This window comes from Homo sapiens, chromosome 3 (genome assembly GCF_000001405.40).
Source record: "Homo sapiens chromosome 3, GRCh38.p14 Primary Assembly".
Lineage (NCBI taxonomy): Eukaryota > Metazoa > Chordata > Mammalia > Primates > Hominidae > Homo > Homo sapiens.
Window position 1 is genome coordinate 108,186,381 of NC_000003.12, and position 21,748 is coordinate 108,208,128.

Here is a 21,748-nt window from a genome sequence, read left to right on the forward strand (position 1 = left end):
TTCAAGAGTTAATAAAAATACCAGAGGAATTAATAGGAGATGATTTGATGGAGATAAGTGCTTCCAAACCATGCCAAACAATGAGGAGGAAGACGAAGAAGAAGTAGTACCAGAAAACAAATTTGATACTGGACAATCTGGCAGAAGGGCTCTGATTATTCAAGACTACTTTGGACTTGTTTTATAACGTGGACCCTTCAATGAAAAATTAAACCAAATTGCGGAAGAATTGGTAATATACAGAAACGTTTTTAAAGAAATGAAAAAGCAAAAAAAGCCAGAAATTAGAATGCATTTCCATAAAGTTATACCAGTGTGCTTGCCTCTCCTGCCTCCCCTTCCTCTTCCTCCACTTCTTCTGCCTCTGCCACCCCTGAGACAGCAAGACCAACTCCTCCTCTAGTCCCTCCTCCTTCCTCAGCCTTCTTAATGGGAAGACAATGGAGATGAAGACCTTTGTGATGCTCCACTTCCACTTAATGAATAGTAAATATATTTTCTCCTCCTTATGATTCTTTTAACATTTTCTTTTATCTAGCTTATTTTATTGTAAGAATACAGAATATAATACATATAACATACAAAATATCTGTTAATTGTGTATGTTATTAGTAAGGTGTCCAGCCAACAGTAAGCTATTAGTAGGTAAGTTCTGAAGAGTCAAAAGTTAAAATGCACAGGGGTTGGCATCCCTAACCTTCATGTTGTTCAAGGGTCAACTGTAATTACCAGGAACATTATAATCAATGCCAAAAAAAATGAACCATTAATATGGTCCATTCAAATCAGCATATAACAAAAATTCTTTATCTTCAGCTGTGAAGCATATTATTTGTATTCTTGGCAACATTTACTTTCCTAATTGTATTCTGTTTAAGCTAATATTAAAATTAGTTTGCATTCTTTGAGAACTGGCAATAGTAGCAAGTGGTGCCAGACAATAGGGATAAGCTAGTTTAGCAATAAAAACCTTGTTGCAATATTATGGTGAATATACAAAATAAAATATTGTTACATGATAAGATCTCATCAAAGCACATACATTGAAATACATAAAAAGAATAGAGAAGGAGATTTACTTTCCTGTAATTTCCTGCTAGGAAGCATAAAAAGAATAAATGTGTGAGAGAAGACTGCTCTGCCTATGGAGTAGCCATGATTTTGTTTCTTTACTTCTCTAATAATTAAACTTGTTTTCATGTAAGTTAAAAAAAAAAGGGGGGGAGTGTCTGAGCCTACTATGGCTCAGAAGGGTGCCTGATTAAAAAAAAAAAGTGTGAGAGAAAAACGCAAAACACATATTTGATCCAGAGCCAAATAAATATGGGACTTATTTACTACCAAATTTAAATAACAGAGGTCCTTTACTACTTGTCTCTCTCATCTCTAAACCACTTCAAAATTAATCCAACACTGACCAGTAAAACACACTGACCCCAAAATAATACATTTCTTTTCTTTTCTTTTCTTTAAAACACACAGGTAAAATCTCTAGATGTCCTAGATAGCCTGTGTTGAGTGAAAGGTTATTATTTTGGCCAAAGGGAAAACAAAGGTTTTTGTTTTTTTTTTTTATACTTTAAGTTTCAGGGTACATGTGCACAATGTGCAGGTTTGTTACGTATGTAGCATGTGCCATGTTGGTTTGCTGCACCCACTAACTCGTCGTTTACATTAGGTATATCTCCTAATGCTATCCTTCCCCCCTCCTCCCACCCCACAACAGGCCCCAGTGTGTGATGTTCCCCTTCCTGTGTCCAAGTGTCTATTTGATTTTGATAGAGTGAGGAGTGGAGAAGGAAAGGGTCGACCACGATGCTGGAGTCCACCTCTTCTGGAGGAGAATGAGTCTGTGAGAAGAGAGCTCATATGTAACCAGATGGTTTATTTTTATTTCTGAGGCATGAGAAACTTTTCATTAGCTCCTTATTTTCTCAAGCCAGTATATACATTTATTTTTAAATAAGCTAAATAAAGAATTCACCTGACCCTAAAGGTGTATTTCCCAATTGCCATATCTGAAAGACTTAAAAGAAAGAGAAGTTTGTAAAATACTAGACACAAAGATCAAACTATCTAAAGAAGAATTCTAAAAAAGCAATCGAATATGACTTTGGTCAGTAGTTTTTACCACAAAGATCTAAATTCAAAATGATATCTACATATTCTAAAAAATAATGAAAAAAACCTTTATCTGATATTTTGGAATGCTGGCCATAAAACTTAATTTTATAATTAATTTGACAGGGTATATCCTCATAAGATTAAGGCCTACAGAATGGCATGAGAATAAGGGTCTAACTTTCAACTCATTAATTTTTCCCCAAATCAGGAGGACACTGATGATTTAAAAACTCAGGATTTTGATGATGGCAATACTGGTCTGTTATAGAATTTGACCTGCACATAGTTTTGTAAAAGAGTGTGTGTTAGCAGTTACATTTATATTCTTAAGTTACTCCTATTAATGCAAAAATCAATAACCGCAATCTAAAAAATCCCTATTAGACTTTAAATGAGATGTCTGACTTCCAGAGTTTACTTAGCTTGAAAGTAAACAAATTAAACTTGCTTCCTTGTGGGATTAAGCTGTACTTGAGAGTTTCCAACTATACAATTATTTTAACACATCATTATAACCAGAATCACAATAATAGTGACTTTTAATTTTATGAAAAGAATTTGTTCTGACAAAACCAAAAAATCAGAAATCACATTTTTGCAAATGAAGACTTCCAGAAGATTTTGCTTAATCAGTGAAGAAGAAATTCTTATTAATATATTTTTAGATATGAGAGCTATACAAAGAATTCACCTGCAATGCAATCAATTAATAGTTGTCCTCTATAACAAGTAGGTAAATGGACTACAGGATTTGTCCACTTACATTGAATAGAATTTGTTCTACAGCTGTTCACAGTGTAGTAAGACCTCTGTTGCTCTCGCCCTATCCCGGGACTGCTCTAGGAATCTAGCTTACTTCCTACCTGCTCTGAGACACAGTTGTACAAGCTCAAATGGAGACATTCTAAGAATAAATTAGCTTCTAAGGCATTCTGAAAACAGCAATGTTTGTAAGATTTTTTGGTTTTTTTGGTGGGGGAAGCAGACACAGGATCACATTTTCAGAGTGATAAGCTTATCTAGAACCTCATTCCATAACACTGGGGGCTTATGTACAACCTCCTCCAAGGATGAAAATTCTCCTTCAGTTTTTTATCTAGATGTCTCTTTAGCCCCTTTTGTAGAGATATTTACACTACCACTAGAATAGTATTGCCTAGTTACCTATTAACTTATTCTGAAGTCATTACAGTTGACCCTCGAACAATGCAGAGGTTGGTCGTTAGGGGCACTGATCACTTTGTGCAGTAGTTTTGACTCCTCAAAAATTTAACTAACAGCTTACTTTTGACTAGAAATGATACTGATAATATAAACAACACGTATTCCTTATGTTATATGTATTATATACTGCATTCTTACAGCAAAGTAAACTAAAGAAAATATTAAGAAAATCATAAGAAAGAAAATATGTATTTACTATTCATTAAGTGGAAGTGGATCACTATAAAGATCTTTATCCTCATTGTCTTCATGTGGAGTAAGAGGAGTGGTTGGTCTTGCTGTCTCAGAGGTGGCAGAGGCAGAAGGGGAAGAGGAGGTGGAAGAGGACGCAGAACAGCAGGCATACTGGTTGTAACGTTTATTGGGAAGTCTGCCTATAAGTGGACCTGTGCAGTTCAAACCCTGATTTTACAGGCTACTAGGTGGAAGGGACTTGCCTTGTCTCAGATTAACCTTGTTTTTGGACTTGGACTTTTGGGGTTAATGCTGGAATGAGTTAAGACTTTGGGGGACTGTCAGGAAGGCATGATTGTGTTCTGAAATGTAAGGACATGAGATTTGGGAGAGGCCGGGGCAGAATTACATGGTTTAGCTTTGTGTCCCCACCCAAATCTCATCTTGAATTGTAATCCGCAAGTGTTAAGGGAGGAACCTGGTGGGAAGTGATTGGATTATGGGTATGGTTTCCCCATGGGGTTCTTGTGAAAGTGAGTGAGTTCTCACAAGATCTGATGGTTTTATAATTGTCTGGCATTTCTCCTGCTCACTTCTTCTCCTTCCTGCGGCCTTGTAAAGAAGATGCCTTGCTTTCCCTTGGCCTTCTGCCATGATTGTTTAAGTTTCCTAAGGCCTCCCCAGCCATGCTGAACTATGAGTCAATTATACCTTTCCTTTAAAAATTACCCAGTCTTGGGCAGTTCTTTATAGCAGTACAAAAACGAACTAATACAACAGTATTTATCAAATTGTAACTAGAAAGGAAGTAGAAACTTGATACAATGGGCAAGTTAATCTGGTCTAATCCCTAAATCTTATTAAATATGACTTCTTGATTATTTTCTTAACATTTATTTATTTATTTAGAGATGGAATCTCGCTCTGTCATCCAGGCTGGAGTGCAGTGGTGCAGTCTTGGCTCACTGCAACCTCTGCCTCCTGGGTTCAAACGATTCTCCTGCCTCAGCCTCCTGAGTAGCTGGGATTACAGGCACGTGCCACCATGCCTGGCTAATTTTTGTATTTTTAGTAGAGACGGGGTTTCACTGCATTGGCCAGGCTGGTCTCGAACTCCTGACCTCATGATTTGCCCACCTCGGCCTCCCAAAGCGTTGGGATTACAAACGTGAGCCATGGCGCCTGGCCAGCATTTTATTTTTAATCACATGTATTGAATAGATTATCTAAGACCACTTCCAGGCTGCTTTCTGTTTTGCCATGCAGCAGAGCTCTAAACCATCTTATAACTCTAATCAGTTGGTATGGTCATGGAATTCCTATTCATCTAAACATAATATGATTTCCCAGAAAATCTTCTGAGAAAATACCCCTCAACACTAGGCAAATATGATGTCTTCCAAATCACTCTTTTAAAGATCTTTGCTTTGCTTTTTGGACCACATTACATTATTTAGTTATTTAACAACAATTTGTTAAATCCTTATTAAGACAAAATGCTGAAAACTGAATCCTACTGCCCTTCTTTAATAATTTTTATAATTGGGAGTACCCCTAACCCTGAAGTTTCCTTATAACTTTTTTTTTTTTTTAAGAAAATGTGTTCCCACTTTGATACCTTATTGTCAGTCCTAATCGTGACTTTCAGTTGCGGTAGTACACGTTCCACTTCTAGGCTCCATTCTGCAGCATCTGTTGTGGATTCCAAAATATCTTCTTGTTTGGCAGTCTCGTTCATATCCTAAGAAAGGAAAGATATCACAAGATTGAGAGTTTATAAAAAGAAATGGTAAAAATTTGAGGCATTTTAGCAGTACTGCACAATTTAAATCAAGAATTGGTAGTGTTAAAATTATAGTGGAAGAAGAAATTATTTTCTGTCTTCCTACAATGTTGAAAGAAAATAATGCACCAACCTGGTAGAATAGCAAAATATGTATTAAAAAAGAAGCAAATATATGATTCAACTATTTTTACAAGGAAAAATGTTTCTGAGACATCAGATTGAACTCAATAGGAATACCATCAAATGGACCAACAAGCCATTTAGGTATGTTAATTGGTAACAGTAGAGAAGATGTTTGGTAAGAAAACTCACTCATGTTTGGTAAGAAAACACTTAAATCGGGCATGGTGGTGGGCGCCTGTAGTCCCAGCTACTCGGGAGGCTGAGGCAGGAGAATGGAGTAAACCCGGGAGGCGGAGCTTGCAGTGAGCCAAGATCATGCTACTGCACTACTCCAGCCTGGGTGACAGAGCGAGACTCTGTCTCAAAAAAAAAAAAAAAAAAAAAAGGGAAACACTTAAATTTATCACACTGAAATACAAACCCCAAATCTGAAAGACAAAATATAAAAAAATTCCAGAAGCAAAGAATCACTATTTACAAAATTTGTATTCATAATTGAAGTGATAATTTATTAGGTCAAATTACAATATAGCTTAAAGCGTAATTTAATATAGACATACTTGAACTCAATTAGGGAGGGGGCCAAATTTCTGCATTTGCTTTCTGCATTGGAATAATAAAAATCAATCATGATTGTTTCTGAATTACAACAAAAAAGGCCTACTCTTTTCTTTTTTCTCAGCCCTTCACATTTCAGCATTAAGTATGTATGGATCTGAAAATATGAATAATGTAGATTAATGATTTAAAGATAAAATCTAAGGCAGTAATTTTGGTACCAATTCTTCCCTTTAACTCCCTTAATAAATTATAAGTAAATCTAAAGAAAAAATTAAAATATCAATATTTATATAGAGAAAAAGATACTAAAGGGATATAAACAGACTTAAAATGTATGAACCTTATATGAATTCTAATTTGAATAATCTATAAAAAGATATTTTTGAGACAATCAGTGAAATTTTAATATGGGAGATACTGGATGATATTAAGAAATTACTAATTTTATAGATATGACATGGCATGGTTTTTTTTAAAAGGGCCTTATAAGTTAGAAATAAATGCTAAAATATTTACAGATGAATTGACAAAATGTCTGAATTTTACTTTAAAATACTATGAGGCAAAGAAAAAAAGGGAGGCGGCTTTAAATAAAACATGATTGACAAAATGTTAACAACTGTTGAAACTGGATAGCGTGGCATGTTCATTATCTTATTCTAATTTTGTATATGTTTGAAACATTCCATAACACAAAATTTAAAAACAAAAACTAGGTGAACAACCTCATGATGAAATTACATTCTCAATATATATTTATGTCACTAAAATCACATTTCTTAAATGAAAGCTCATTGGATTAGTCTTTCCAATCAGATGTAACACTAATCAGAAGATTAATCTTACATTAGGGTTTGTATTTTTGTGGGAGACTGAGGTCATTAGAGGCTTTGAACTCACTCCCAATTAAGACTCTGGAACAGAGCTAACATAAGAAAGCCTCTCCTACCTCCTAGCTCATAACAGCAAGTCCTGTTTAGACTCAGAGCCTTAAAGCCTATACTGCTTTTTGTTCAGATTCAAGGGACTATATATTTCTAACTTCACCATTTGAGAATGGATAACTAATACATGTTTTTACACTGTATAATATGTGGTCTGAATGTATTCAGTTACATTCCATTTAGAAAACCAGAAGTATAAAAAAACAAAACATTAAGTAAAATGTGAAAAAAAAGCTCAAGATTCTACTTTAAACATTTAAATATGGAAACATTGTATTATTCTGAGTACTTAATGCTGTATACTTCTATATATATTGGATCTAGGGTAGCCCAAGAGTATCATAGCTGGGGAAGGAGGTGCTGCATTCACAAAGCAGATACATGTGAAGTTACATGAGAATGTGTACTATGGCAGGAAAAGAGATAATGGGTCTCTGTGTCAAAACCTAAAGCAATAGGGAAGGTTCTCTGCCATGTAAATCCACACTGGCATCAGTAAGATGCATATGTTTGGAAGAACTAGGCATATGCACATTCACTGGCACATTGAGTACCTGTCTTAGACTCTACGAGACCCAGCTTCTCATTTTCTATACCACACAGGATAGACTAATGGGGGCTGGGGTAGTGAGGACATATGCCTTGCTAGTGGTATGTGAGCCCTGACCTCAGGGCATGTGTGTGGGTATACACAAAGGGTTACTCCTGCCAGGGGTTATGGGCAATCCCAATCCTGCAAAACCAGGCTGAAACAAGACAGCATGCCCTCTCAGCAGCAGTTCTGAGTGATTCTTAATAGAATGCAGGTATTGCATCAAATGATAAATTCAGTAACATTATAGGGAACAAAATCAATATATAAAAATCAGTATCATTTCTATATGCCAACAGTGAACAATTTGAAGTAGAAACCAAGAAAGTAATTCCATTCACGACAGCTAAAATAAAATACCTAGGAATAAACTTAATCAAAGGAGTGAAAAAATCTTTAGAATGAAACTACAAAAACACTGATGAAAGAACTGAAGAGGACACAGAAAAGGGAAAGATATTCCAAGTTCATGGTCTGGAAAAATAAATATTATTAAACTGTCCATACTACCCAAAGCAATCTACAGATGCAATCCCTATAAAAATACTAATGACATTCTTCACAGAAATAAAAAAAAAAATTCTAAAATTTATAAGGAACTACAAAAGACCCAGAATAGTCAAAGCAATCCTGAGCAAAAAGAACAAAGCTGGAATCATTGCATTACCTGACTTCAAATTATACTACAAAGCTACCATAACTAAAACAGCATGGTTCTGGCATAAAAACAGATGCAAAGACCAATGGAAAAGAATACAGAATCCAGATTTAAATCCATGCATTTATAGCCAACTCATTTCTGATAAAAACACCAAGAACATACATTGTGGAAAGGACAGTCTCTTCAATACATGGTGCTGGAAAAACTGGATATTCATATGTAGAAGAATGAAACTAGATGCCTATCTCTTACCATACACAAAAATCAAATAAATATGGATTAAACACTTCAATCTATGACATGAAAACACTGGGGAAACACTCCAGAACATTGGTCTGGGCAAAGATTTCTTAAGTAAGACCTCAAAAGCACAGATAGACAAAGCAAAAATGGACAAATGGGATCATGTCAAGCTAAAAAGCTTCTGCACAGAAAAGGAAGCAATCAACAAAATGAAGAGACAACCCACAGAATGGGAGAAAATATTTGCAAACTACCCATCTGAAAGGGGATTAACAATCAGAATATATAAGAAGTTCAAACAACTCAGTAGGAAAAAAACCCAAATGATCTAATTAAAAAATAGGCAAAAGATCAAAAAGAGACATTTCTCAAAACAAGTCATACAAATGGCCAGCAATTATACGAAAAAATGATCACTAATCATTACTAATCACCAGAGAAATGCGAACCAAAACCACAAGATACCATTTTACCTCAGTTAAAATGGTTTTATCAAAAAGACAGGCAATAACAAATGCTGGCAAGGATATGGAGAAAGGGGAACACTTGTATAGTGTTGGTGGGAAAGTAAATTAATACAGTCACTATGGAGAACACTTTGGAGGTTCCTCAAAAAACTAAAAATCTATCATATAATCTAGCAATGCTGCTGCGGAGCATATACCCAAAAGGAAGGAAATCAGTATGTTAAAGAGAAATCTGCATTCGCATGTTTACTGCAGCACTATCCACAATAGCCGAGATAGGGAATCAACCTAAGTGTTGATCAAGGGATGAATGGATAAAGAAAACAAGGTATATATACACAATGGGATATTATTTAGCCATAAAAAGAATGAAATTTTGTCATTTGTAGCAACATGGATGGAATTGGAGGTCATTATGTTAAATGAAATATGCCAGGAACAGTAAGACAAATATCACATGTTCTCACTCATATGTGGGAGGTAAAAATAAGTAGATTTCATGGAGGTAGAGAGTAGAATGATGGTTACCAGAGATTGAGAATGGTAGCGGGGAGGAGGGATAAAAAGTGAATGGTTATTGGGTATGAAAATATAGTTATTTAAAACTGCATTAGTTATATAGAAAAAATAAGACCTAGTGTTCGGTAGCACAATAGGGCAACTATAATTAACGGTAATGTATTATATATTTCAAAATACCTAAAAATGTGGAACGGGAATGTTCTTAACACAAAGAAATGATAAATGCTTGAGGTGATTGATAGCCCAATTACCCTGATCTGATCATTACGCATTGTATGCCTTGTATCAAAATATCACATACACCCCATAAATATGCACTATGTGTTCATAATAACTAAAGATAAAAAAATAAAAAATATATAAAAATAAGTTTGATTTATGGAGTACCATTTGGGTGAACTGAAGCTAGATGCTGTTGATTAAATCCCAAAGCCAGTGCTCTCCAACCCTCATTTCCACCCTCATTTCCAACCCCTCTTTCTTTCCCTCCTTACAAGATTGAAGTTCAGAATCACCAAACAAGACAAGGGCGCACACCCGTCCATACTACCACTTTCTTCAGGCCTGGATGTAGGATTGTTCAAGTTGTGAATAACATACTCAAAATGTTTTACTGAAGGAAGGGCATTTTTCATAAAGGCAGATGGGTTTGCAGTGGCCATTTGAACTAGACCTAGAATCTGAGGCAGCAGGGTACATAAAGATCAAACACTGCATTAAGATATGCCACTGCATAAGCTATTTGTTTTTATGTTGGGCCCTTTAGTAAGTTGCATTTACCTTTACTAGCTTATTATTTGGTTCCCTTAAGCAACGATTTGCTAACTCCCACTCCCAATGTTCTAAAATGATTTAACATAGGAGCTCAAAAATTTTCACTCACTCGTAGGCCATAATTAATATACTAGGGGAAATGGCCCAGTTGCTAAGTGAATAAAGGGCAAAAAGAGAACATTAGGTTTGGCAGAGCAGCATTAACTTATTCAAACTATACAGTTTCTTTCTACATCCATGTTTGCATATCTATTTCATAACCTCATTCCTCACTCAACATTTCTTAATGCCTAATAACTTGATACATTAACTGAGCAAGCCCTATATATAAAGTATAAATCATTTTAAAACTATACTGTGCCTTGGTTATAATACTTTGAGAAAATTTTTCTTCCCAATTGTTTTTCCATTTCATAAATGGTACTTTATGTGGGTCACTTGTACAAGAGAAATAAACTGCTTTTCATTTAATCAAAATTTTATATCATCATGACAAAGTCCCTCTCTAACACATTAACTAATATAAAGCATTGCTTTTGGGAAATTCCATTTTCCAGTTACTGCTGCAGAAGAAACAATTAGAAGCTCATAAGACACAAGTTATCTAGAAGTCTCATTTATAATTAATTAAATTAATAAGCCATTTGTTAAACTCCTACAACATTCAAGGTAAGAATTCAGGCACTGTGCTTGGTGTGGAAAGCTAAAAGGATTTAAATGCTGCCTGCAGAGTTTGCAGACTACTAGGAAAAGTCTGAGGCCAGTTAATGGGAGTAATAATTGGTCCTAGGTAAAAGGAGAAACTGATGAGATGGGAACTGATCCTAACTGCCAAAGGAAGAACTGAAAATAACAGTCTACACTATCCCATAAAGTAACCTTGGGCTCAAACAGTGGGGCACACCATCGAAGTCAGTTCAAGAATCAAACATACAGTGTTAAAAGCCTACTTAGAATCCTGTTCCAGTAATCTTTGGTCAAGCATCAAAGAAAGGCTATGTTCTGTAAAAATATACATGAGATGGCAACTTCATGGATATACTAGTGTCCAGATTCATTTGAAGAGCTTATATCATATACCTACTGAGAGGGTGTTAAAAGTCCAATTAACTCTCAAGATTAAATACTCCCAAGACTCAAGGAAAAGGGAACTAAGTTGTCTTAAGAGTCACAACAGCATGGTGTAAATGTTAAGAGGATGGGTCTGGAATCACATCTTTGCTCAAATCCCACCTCCATGACTTACTAGCTGTTGGTCAAGTTACATAACCTCTCTAAATCTCGGAGTACCCATCTGTAAAATGAGAATAACAGCACCTTCCTCATTGGAAGGGTTGCTGTGAGCATTAAATGAGACAATGTATTTAAAAGGCTTGCACAGTGTATAATACATATTAACCCCTGGTATATTTTAGCAGTTATTATCATTACTATTACATGCCAAACACGGTACTAGATGCTTTTACATATGGGTTAAATGCCCAATAATAACACCATGAAACAGGGAGTCTTATTACCATCTTTTAAAGTGAGGAAACTGAGGCACAGAATAGTTACATGACTTTTTCAATGTCACATCTTGTGATTGGTAGGTCAGGCAGTGTTACTCTAGAGCACAAGCTCTAAAACACCTTAGCACATGTCTATCAACCCTTTGCACATAGGCTATAATTATTTTTCTCCAGTTCATCACTTGTATTTTAACTTAACGGTGTTCCCCACTCTGCTTTCTTGTAATATAAAGTTTTAATTTTTATGCATTCAGATTTGTATTTTATGTTTTTGATTTTCTTGTCATGCTTAATTATGCCTACTTCAAACTATAACACTTGTCACTCCTCATGTTTGGTGTGTGCGTGTGTGTGTCTTGTTTTGTTTTGTTTTGAGACAGGGTCTCGCTCTGTCACCCAGGTTGGAGTGCAGTGGCATGATCTCGGCTCACTGCAGCCTCCGCCTCCAGGGTTTAAGTGATTCTCCTGCCTCAACCTCCCAAGTAGCTAGGACTACAGGCATGCACCACCATGCCTGGCTGATTTTTGTATTTTTAGTAGAGATGGGGTTTCACCATGTTGGCCAAGCTAGTCTTGAAATTCTGGCCTCAAGTGATCCACCTACCATGGCCCTCAAAGTGCTGGGACTAGAGGCGTGAGTCACTGCACTCGGCCTCGTGTTTTTATTTTATTTTTGTGCCTTATTATTTGTTATTGTGATCCATGTGGAGTTAATTTGGGTGTAATGTATGAGGGAGGAATCCAGCCTTTTCTACAAATGGATTAGCCTATTATCTCTTTACCATTTAATTGAACAGTTCAGTTTTCCTCACTGATTTGCATTGCTTCATATACTAACATTACCACATATTTGTATTATTTTATAGATTCTATACTACTTTGTTAACTTCTGTGTATATTTTCAGACTTATAAAAAATTGCATCAATATCACACAAAAAATTTCCATATACCCTTCATTCAGACACCACTTCCAAATGTTCTCATCTTACATAACTTTGGGCTAATTATGAATAAAGGGGTACAATGTTTCTATCTGAATGCTGAGATTTGGGAAACTTTTCACATTTTTCTTTATACTCTTTTGTTGTTTCATTTTTTAAAAAAACCCACGGAACATATTTTACTTTAAAAAAGAATAAAGTTTTTTCAATAAGCAGGTAAAAATAAAATTTGATTAACTTCCAAAAACTAGCTGGTACAGGTGGTATGCTGTAGGAGTCTGAATGAGAAAGACAAGTATGTTTTAATGCAATAATGAGTTTTAAGTTTAGCCTAACAAGAATGTATGGGAATATAGACAGGCAGAAAAGAGACAAGCCAAGTGTTTACAGTGAGGAAAACGGCATAAGCCAAAAAACTGAAATAGGAATGAATATAACTTGTGAAGATCAAAATGAGAAAAGAGTCTAGGGGCTTAAAAAGGTGAATACTGGGGAGGAAAAAAGAGTTAAGTACATTGTGAAAGACCTTCAAATCTAAGGTAAGGAATATGAATTTTGTCCTCCAGCCAGAAAAGAAGCCAAGAAGTTATAGGCAAGGTGCAATCACTGTATTTATTAATATTTATCCAACAACTATTTACTTAGTGCCCACTATGTTCCACATACTGTTACAGTCCAGGAATAGTGACTAAAACAATAATCCTCACGAATAAAACATGCTAGTTATGTTTTATAGATTTATGGGTTTTTGTAGATTTTTGGGTTTGCTGTGGGACTAAATGGGGCAAGGTGATAAGGGAAGTGTCACTTAGGAGATAGAAGAGATAGAATTTGAGCTGAACCTTGAACATTTGAGTCAGGTAGAGAGACAGTGGGAAGGTATTTTAGAAAAGAGACAATAGGAAAGAGAAGCATTGGATGGGAGCAGATATGCTCACAAGGTGTTTGAAAGCCTATGAGGGCACCCATTTAACTGGAATAAAGGGTTTGTAGAAGAAAATGAGGTTAGCTGTGTAGACAACAGTCAAATTGCTAAGGGTCTTGAAAGCCAGATCAAAATTTTATTGCTCTACACTCTATATAAATGGACCTGTAGGCAATGAAAGCCATCAATCATTGAATTCAGAATGACCTGTAATAGCCATGTTTCAGTAAGTCAGACAGAGTAGCAGGGTGAAAAATATTGTGACAAAGAGTGGGGGTGGGATTGAAAGAGGAAGACCAAAGACTATTTAGAGCATTACTGTCATATAATCCAGACAGGTGATGAAAAGAACATGGCCTTGCAAGACAGCTGAAGGGATGGATATGGGAGATGTTTCAAAGGCAGCATCCACGGGTCTTAATGACTACCGAGATGGCCTGGGTAAAGATGAATCAGACATATATTCAAAGCACTAACATTGCCAGGGGTAGGTGGTAAGTGGTGATGAGGGTTTGAGAGATGGGTGGGTTTAAAAAATACAAAGTTATAGAAGACTGAAAAAATGTATATAGTCTGGTACCCATTTAATATATTGAATTATATAATAAATATCTGCTACTAGTGTTGATGGAAGGAACTATAACCTACCTATTTATAGAATGACAGCTCTCAAATAATACCTAAAAAAATCATTATATTACTTTTCATCAGATCTCCTTGAGTCATTTCTGTAGGGGAGATCTTGTGTGACAGCAAATTTAGTCTAGTGGGCCTTCAATAATAATCCACGTGACAGATTATGAAAATAAAGCCATGACATCACCAGGGCTTCCCAATTTACATAGAAATGCAAGCTTCTTGATAACTTATATCCTATGTAAGTATCTTACTCAAAAATACTCATGACAATCTAGGGACTTTTTGTATTGAGAGACTGGGGCTTTTCCTAGTCTTCTATGGCACATAAGAATGTTGAGAACTAATTCCAGTTTCTAGGAAAGGTAAAAAATTATACAAAATAAGAAATGCATGAAGCCCATACTCTATGCCAGCACAATGTCAGGTACTGTCCACAGGTTAGGTTATAATAATCTCAAAACAAGACTGGGTAGAATTATTTGTGCCCCATCCCCAGATAAGAAAGCAGAGTCATAGAAGTTAATTAACTTGCTATGGTCATGTGGCGAGTGACACAGAGTCAGGAATTCATCTCGGGCTGCTATTTCTGCCATTGAATCTACCTTGAAGGTATGGACTCAGATCTGGAAGGGACCTTGAAAAGTCCTTGCTTCCTACTTTTTGCTAGGCCCACAATGAAACCAAGAAGAAAATAAAGATCTCTCTTATTTCAAAAGTGGGTTGAAAAGCTACACTGAAGATCAAGCAAAACTGTCTTTTACACCCAGCAAGAAGTGCCATTTGAGCCTCCACTGAGCAGTGAGAAGCAGAGCTTTTTTCTCTAGCCCACATTTCCTATTCACCTCCAGATGTAAAACTGATGGGGGTGGTAAGGGTTAGTTACCACAGAAATAAAAGCATTTACTCAGTCATAATGTGTCCCATCACACTCAAACATGTGGCATTTTAATTTCTCCTGTGAAATACCAACCATAGACTTCTCTCATAACACAGATAGGAGGCCTAACACTCAACTGTTTTAGGAAAGCAGAGGAAAAAAACATTCTCCTTAAGCAGGAATCAAAAATTAATGGCAACTGATAGGGCAAGCTGTACATAGAACAGTTTTTTCTCCTAGATTACTCAGTAAGAATATTTTATCTAAAAGAAAAATATAAAACATATGTAAAATTAAAAAAATTAAAGTATTTAAGATATTAACCAAAAAAGATCCATCTTCTTCCTCTCTTTGATTACAATACTGCAGTTTTGCCTAGATGAAACTCTAAACTAAATCTGAAATGACATTTTTACTCTAAGACCATATTTTTACTTCCTTTCAGCATTTGCCTTTTAAGCTAAAAAGTCTCTCATTCTTACTTGGTATAATGAATTTCTTGCTAAGTAATTAAAAACCAATTGTGTTTAAACCTTTTGAGATACTTGGTTTTACACTGTGTAACTCAGGATTTGGTTTCCAAAACCTCAAATTTAGCATCTCAAGGAAGAATAGTATCTATGGCATGTATGAAAAAATGTTTTGAAATGAAGTGATGGGCATTTAAAAATAGAATTCAGAGAGTGCACAGCTCCCTCTCCTCTTTTTTTCACTGCGGGAGGAGAATGACACATCTGCATTATGCTGCCAGAAGGCTGTTGCCGTGATTCTGTTGAGTTTCACAAGGGTGAAGGGAGATACAAAGACTACTCATAATTACGGCATAGCCACTGTGAACATGCAAGCAGTGCCCAACTGACATATGCAAATTAGAAATGGAAATGACTAGCACACCTTGCTACCACCTCATCACTAGAGTCTTCCTTTCCTGCTCCCACTCCCTACAGCGCTGAATATTCTACTATACTTCTAAACATCACAGTCCCAGCCCAACTGTCAGAACTTTAATTCGGCACCAGTGTCCTTTCTCATGGCCACTCTTAGGGTAGCTTTGGCTAAATTTCAGATTTCAAGAACACTCAGGAATCAGAGGGACATAAAGAACGTGGAATTCTGTGGATTAGCCTTGAAGCCTAATATCCATTCGTAATGCTTTCCTTCTAAGAAAAGCTATCTGAAAATTCAAGTAATTAAATTACAAATGAAATGGTGGAAGATGAAGCAATGCCTCACTAATTGCAGTTGTTGGCAAAATCATAATTGGGGTAAGGGAATTAGAGGGGAAAATCACACAGAATGACTTTAAATATATTTTTTAAACCTCAAATAAATGTTCTGAAAAGCAACTCATTCCAAAACAAACCAATGTCATTGTTATAAGCATTCATCATCAGTAGGAGGAACATATCTTTTTCAGTGTTCATGAAACTACTGCTGTGTCATGATCCACTTAGGCAGACATTTAAAATTTAGTCAATGGGCAGATGGTATCTCTTTACAAATTCTTCAAGTTAGCAGTTACAGGCTTCAACTATGCTGTGGTAATTAGGAAGATGGGTCACCAGGACCTCTTTCAAGGAAGATCTTGCTGCTGAGCTTCAGAGAATGTGGCCAGCAGACAGTCTCCTGCTGTCAGCTTCCGCAGAGAGCCATTTCACCTGGAGTATGCCCTTCCCAGGGCAACTGGCCTCCAGGGGGTGAGCTAAGCAGGCAACACTTGACTCTACCAGGTTGGCCAATCTTTGTCAGGCCCGTATCACAGCATGACTTCTCCCTCTGCCCAATCCTGCTTTCCTCTCCCTTCCTTTCACATGTGTCTATTTCTAATAAACATCTTGCACTCCAAACTGTCTCAGTGTTTGCATCCAGAGAACACAACCTGCTTATGACATGTCTTTTTCATTTGCATTCTCACTTCATTTTACTGCAAATCTCAGGAATATGCTTGTGTAGGTACAACTCTTGGGATTATCATGATACTTAAAGAGCATGCTTCTCAAGGTCTAGACTTCACTTTATTTAATGAAAGGAAGGAATATAGGTAATTTCTCCCTGCATTAGCCCACATGGTACACAGAAGAGGATATGATTATTGTCAGTAAGTTCTTTTCTCTATGAAAATTGCCTATGAAACCATAAGTACAAAAATAGCACATATTCAGGCATGTATTCATACAATATTATTGATTATTGAGCAACTCCTACATACAAGACACTGGTGAAAAAAGCAGTGAAAAAGCTCCTGCTCCAGTGGAGTTTGCATTCCAGTGGTTGCGACAGAAAAAATAAATCAGTAATTAATAAATATAATGCAATACCAGGGTCTGTGAGGAAAAATAAAGTAGGGTGGGTGAGAGGACAGAGAATGATTGGAGAAGCATCTTATTGTTTTAAAACCATAGACAGGGAGAAAATGCGGCAATCCACACACGGCTGGGCTTGCACAGTCACATATACATTTAGAAAGTCACTTTCCTTGACAGTATGTATTGTTTTTGTTCTAGTGAAGAATTCATCATGCTCAACTTTCCTAAAATAATATTTCCTCTGCATTGTGAGTCCACCTGCTGCATGAGACATAAAATCTTAAATCTATGATACTAACCTATATAGCAATTTTGTCTTGGGGAAAGAGCAGCCCAAACCATCATAAGCTGTAGTCAGACACAGCTGTCTCAGGCAGATGGCTTTAGTGGGCAATATCATGAGCTTGCCAGGTTTTTTAAAATATGAAAGGGTTTTCTGCCTCATTAGTACTCCATGGTTGACCATCCACAAACACCTGGTGTTCACTCTTCTTCCTCTTGTGGAAATACAACTATACATAGTCTTAGCTCTAAAGGAGTTATGTTATATAATTTTTGTCCAAAGAATCTAATACTTAGATAATTTACAAAAACACCATTTGGAAAAACCCTTCCTCATGTAGTTTGCGATGAAAAATTGAAATCAGGACCAATAAGGAATTGGTGTACTGGCAGAAGCAAATTAATTTACTTTGCTCCTTCTCAGTACTCAAACTACTTTGTCCAGAAGGAATCCCAGGTGGCCTTCACAGTTCTCTGTTTACACCATCAATATAAGAATGAATAACACAAACAACAGTTTCTTTCCAAGAATAACTGTGTGCATCTCTACTTTTATTTTTCTTCTCACATTTGAGGAGCACTCGGTCATCATCATCTCCAACACACACATTAAGTAAACACCAACATTACTAATTACAACTTGCTAAAGGCAGGAATCAAAACATATCTACACCTTGTTCAACTCTTGTTATGAGGTAAAGCGGAAAAAGCAATAGACTTGGAGTTTGGAGAAGCAGTTTAAATTCAGGTACTGTGACTTATTAGCTTCTTAAAAGATTAAACTGTCCCAAGGTTATAAATTTCAGTGTTTATATTTGTAAAATGGAGATAACATCTACCCAAATACTTTACAAGGTCAGTAAAGAAATGTGTTTTAAAGTACTTGAAAACTACAAAACGATCTGCAAATGTAAGGTATTGATATAACTGGAGTTTAGATTTAAATTTTAACATATTATTCTGATATATTTTCAATTGATCAATAAAAAATACCTTCATTCATTTAAGAGGTTTTTATTCAGTACCTTCTGTGTTACACTATGGGGAATATTAAAAAGGATAGCTATCTCCGTTATCAAGGAGCTTACAAATCAGATTTCAGACGGGGAAATATGGAGGAAAGATGTGGTTTTGGTTTTTGCCAGTGCTGAGTACTTTCTATGTGACAGATATTATTATAGTGTTTTACATGTAGTAACTCCTTTAATTTTCAAAAACCCTATGACAAAGGTAAAGGTAATATTTTTATCTCATTTACAGCTTAAGAAGATGAGGCACAAGAAGTTTGGAAACTTGCCCAAATCTGGAATCCTAGTAAGTATTAGAGTAAAGTCACACACTGAGGCAAGTTGACCACAACGTTATATTACATCTCAAGTTGGGCAGAAAACACAGACACATATATGCATCATTAATAATAACTAATGAGGATTAATATCACTAAGGCATCAATGAGGATTAATAATACTAAGGCAGTATTGATGCCTTAGTATTATTAATCCTCATTATTATAAATACAAAGATCATCCTGGGGAGGGGTAGTCAAGGAAATCTTCATGATATGAAACCAAAACTAGATCCAAACTTGTCTTGAGGATTCAGATAAGAAAAATTAAATAAAGGACTAATAGAGCATTACTTTCCATATGTACTTTTTGAGGGTACAATAGGTATATATCCTTGATTAATATATAACATATTATATAATATATAAAATATTATAACATATTATATAATATACAAAATATTATAGCATATTATATATTATTTATATATTATTTAATTAATTTAACATATATTTATATAACATATTTATTATATATTAATATATTTATAATACATAATTATATATTAATATATATTATTTATAATATATAAATATATTAGTTTATAATATATAAATATATTATATATTTATATATAATATATAATATATTTATGTTATATATTACTTATATATAATATATTGTATATTATTTATAATATATATTATATATTATTTATATATAATAATATATTATATATAAATAATATATATTGATATATAATATATATGGTGAATGTAAAAATATATATCTGAAATATCTCATTGTATATGTACTTTTATAGATTAGATTTATTTCATAATTAAAACAGACTTAAAGCAATGTCTGATTACTTATTCATATACCTACCAGTCTTAATCCATTTTATTTAAAGAGCTACAATTTAAATATTTTCCTATAATCAAGATCATTAAATCTTGGCCTATTAAAATGGAAAATAACTTGAAATAGAATATTTGATGTCTTTTCATAATAAAATATGTCACCAGGCAAATTATTTTCAGTCTGCATGAGTAGCACTATGTCAATTTTCCATAATACAGACAGGAGGCTGCCTCACTCACTCCTCTGGATTTTTATATTTGCTATAATTATAACATTTTATATATAGGAAAGCAATTTTGAGAGCTACTTTTGAAACAGCATACAAAACAATGGCCAACAACGGTTTCTACTCATTTAAATTTCCAGCAGAACATGTACATTGATTGCTTGTTGGTCCTGCATGTATCTGATGAAACTTACCAAGTGATATGTCTGGGCCTTTAAAACGTTGAGATCAATAAAGTTTTCTTCATTATCTGTCTCTTCTTCCTTAGAAAATAAATTTTTAAAAAATTATTAAAAATTATAATTAAAAAATATATTTCCAGTTTCCACCTATATGCTATACTAAGCTATATTAAGCTTGATATAAAGACTAGTGTAGAAAAGGGTATTTAAAAGCCTAGTGAACGTGTGCATAAAGTAGGGCACAATATTATTAACAGTTCATCTGTTTTTTGAGGTTTTGATGGTACTACTACTTAAATAGAACCATTTTTGTAGTCAATAAAGAAAGGAAAAAAACTGGGGGAGGGAAAGGAAGGGAGCCATTGCTATAGAACTACAGATAAATATAAAAACAGGGCAAGAAACAAACCCAAGTGGCTGGCATATTTGGTATAAATAGAGGGAATTAATGGATATTTTTGAGCAATATAACTGAAATGGACAAAAATGAGAGGCTGACAGAGAATATTCTCACTTTCTCTGACCAATCACATTGATACATATTTTTGACATCTCATCTCTGGTATGTTCAAGCTTGATAAAATAATGGTTACCAGTACTGGTTGGTCCATGGTACTTAAATCTATTAAAAAGGATAGTATAGGTGGATGCCGAGCTAATCCTTATCTGCAGACCAATTGGATGTAGAGGGCAGGGGTAGAAAGTGACCCTTTGAGAGCCAACTCCCTCCCCAATATGCAGTAAATATGGAGTCTGAGCAGGTTCTATGAGCATGTAGGACAAAACATGAGCTCCCCTTTTCTTCATATGTCTTTGTGGTGACAAGTGCCATAGTAAGTAACAAAAATTTAACAAGGATATTTCAACCTTAAGGACACGATAATAAAGCCAATGGAACTGGGTCCTCAAGTCATGATTTTATAAGGAAAAAAGAGAATGTCAGTTGGTGAACACTTCCATATGTAGAACTATACAAAGCTGTAGTAGATTTCAAAGATAATTCTTAACTTCAACAATTTATAAATATGTAAGATACTGGTTCTCCAAGTATGGTTCTGAGAGCAGCAGTATCAGCATCACCTAGGTACTCCTTAGAATGCAAATTCTAAGGCTCTATCCCATATCTCCTCAGAAACTATGGGGGTTGGCCGGGCGCGATGGCTCACGCTTGTAATCCCAGCACTTTGGGAGGCCGAGGCAGGCGGATCACGAGGTCAGGAGATCGAGACCATCCTGGCTAACACAGTGAAACCCTGTCTCTACTAAAAATACAAAAAATTAGCCGGGCGTGGTGGCGGGCGCCTGTAGTCCCAGCTACACGGGAGGCTGAGGCAGGAGAATAGCATGAACCCAGGAGGCGGAGCTTGCAATGAGCCGAGATTGTGCCACTGCACTCCAGCCTGGGCGACAGAGCGAGACTCCGTCTCAAAAGAAAAAAAAAAAAAAAGCAACTATAGGGGTGGGGCAACTAAGGTAAGCTATGAGAACTATGCTAAACCTTGGAAAACCAGAA

At 35.5% G+C, this 21,748-nt stretch overlaps 1 protein-coding gene across 1 annotated transcript in view, besides 1 other annotated feature; it reads right to left on the reverse strand.

Annotated features, from left to right (window-relative positions):
- Window positions 1-21,748, reverse strand: part of IFT57 (intraflagellar transport 57) — a 61,613-nt gene that overhangs the window by 25,569 nt on the left and 14,296 nt on the right. Inside the window, exons 5-6 of the mRNA NM_018010.4 lie at window positions 20,248-20,316; window positions 5,141-5,263 (exon numbers count right to left, since the gene is read on the reverse strand). Coding sequence (NP_060480.1) covers window positions 5,141-5,263; window positions 20,248-20,316 — 192 coding nt within the window. The remainder of the gene's footprint in view (window positions 1-5,140; window positions 5,264-20,247; window positions 20,317-21,748) is intronic.
- Window positions 2,969-3,169: a silencer, noted in NCBI's record as "peak4761 fragment used in MPRA reporter construct". NCBI's record gives its function as "represses an SCP1 promoter by STARR-seq MPRAs in K562 erythroleukemia cells {active_cell/tissue: K562}" and the evidence as "EXISTENCE:reporter gene assay evidence [ECO:0000049][PMID:32103011]".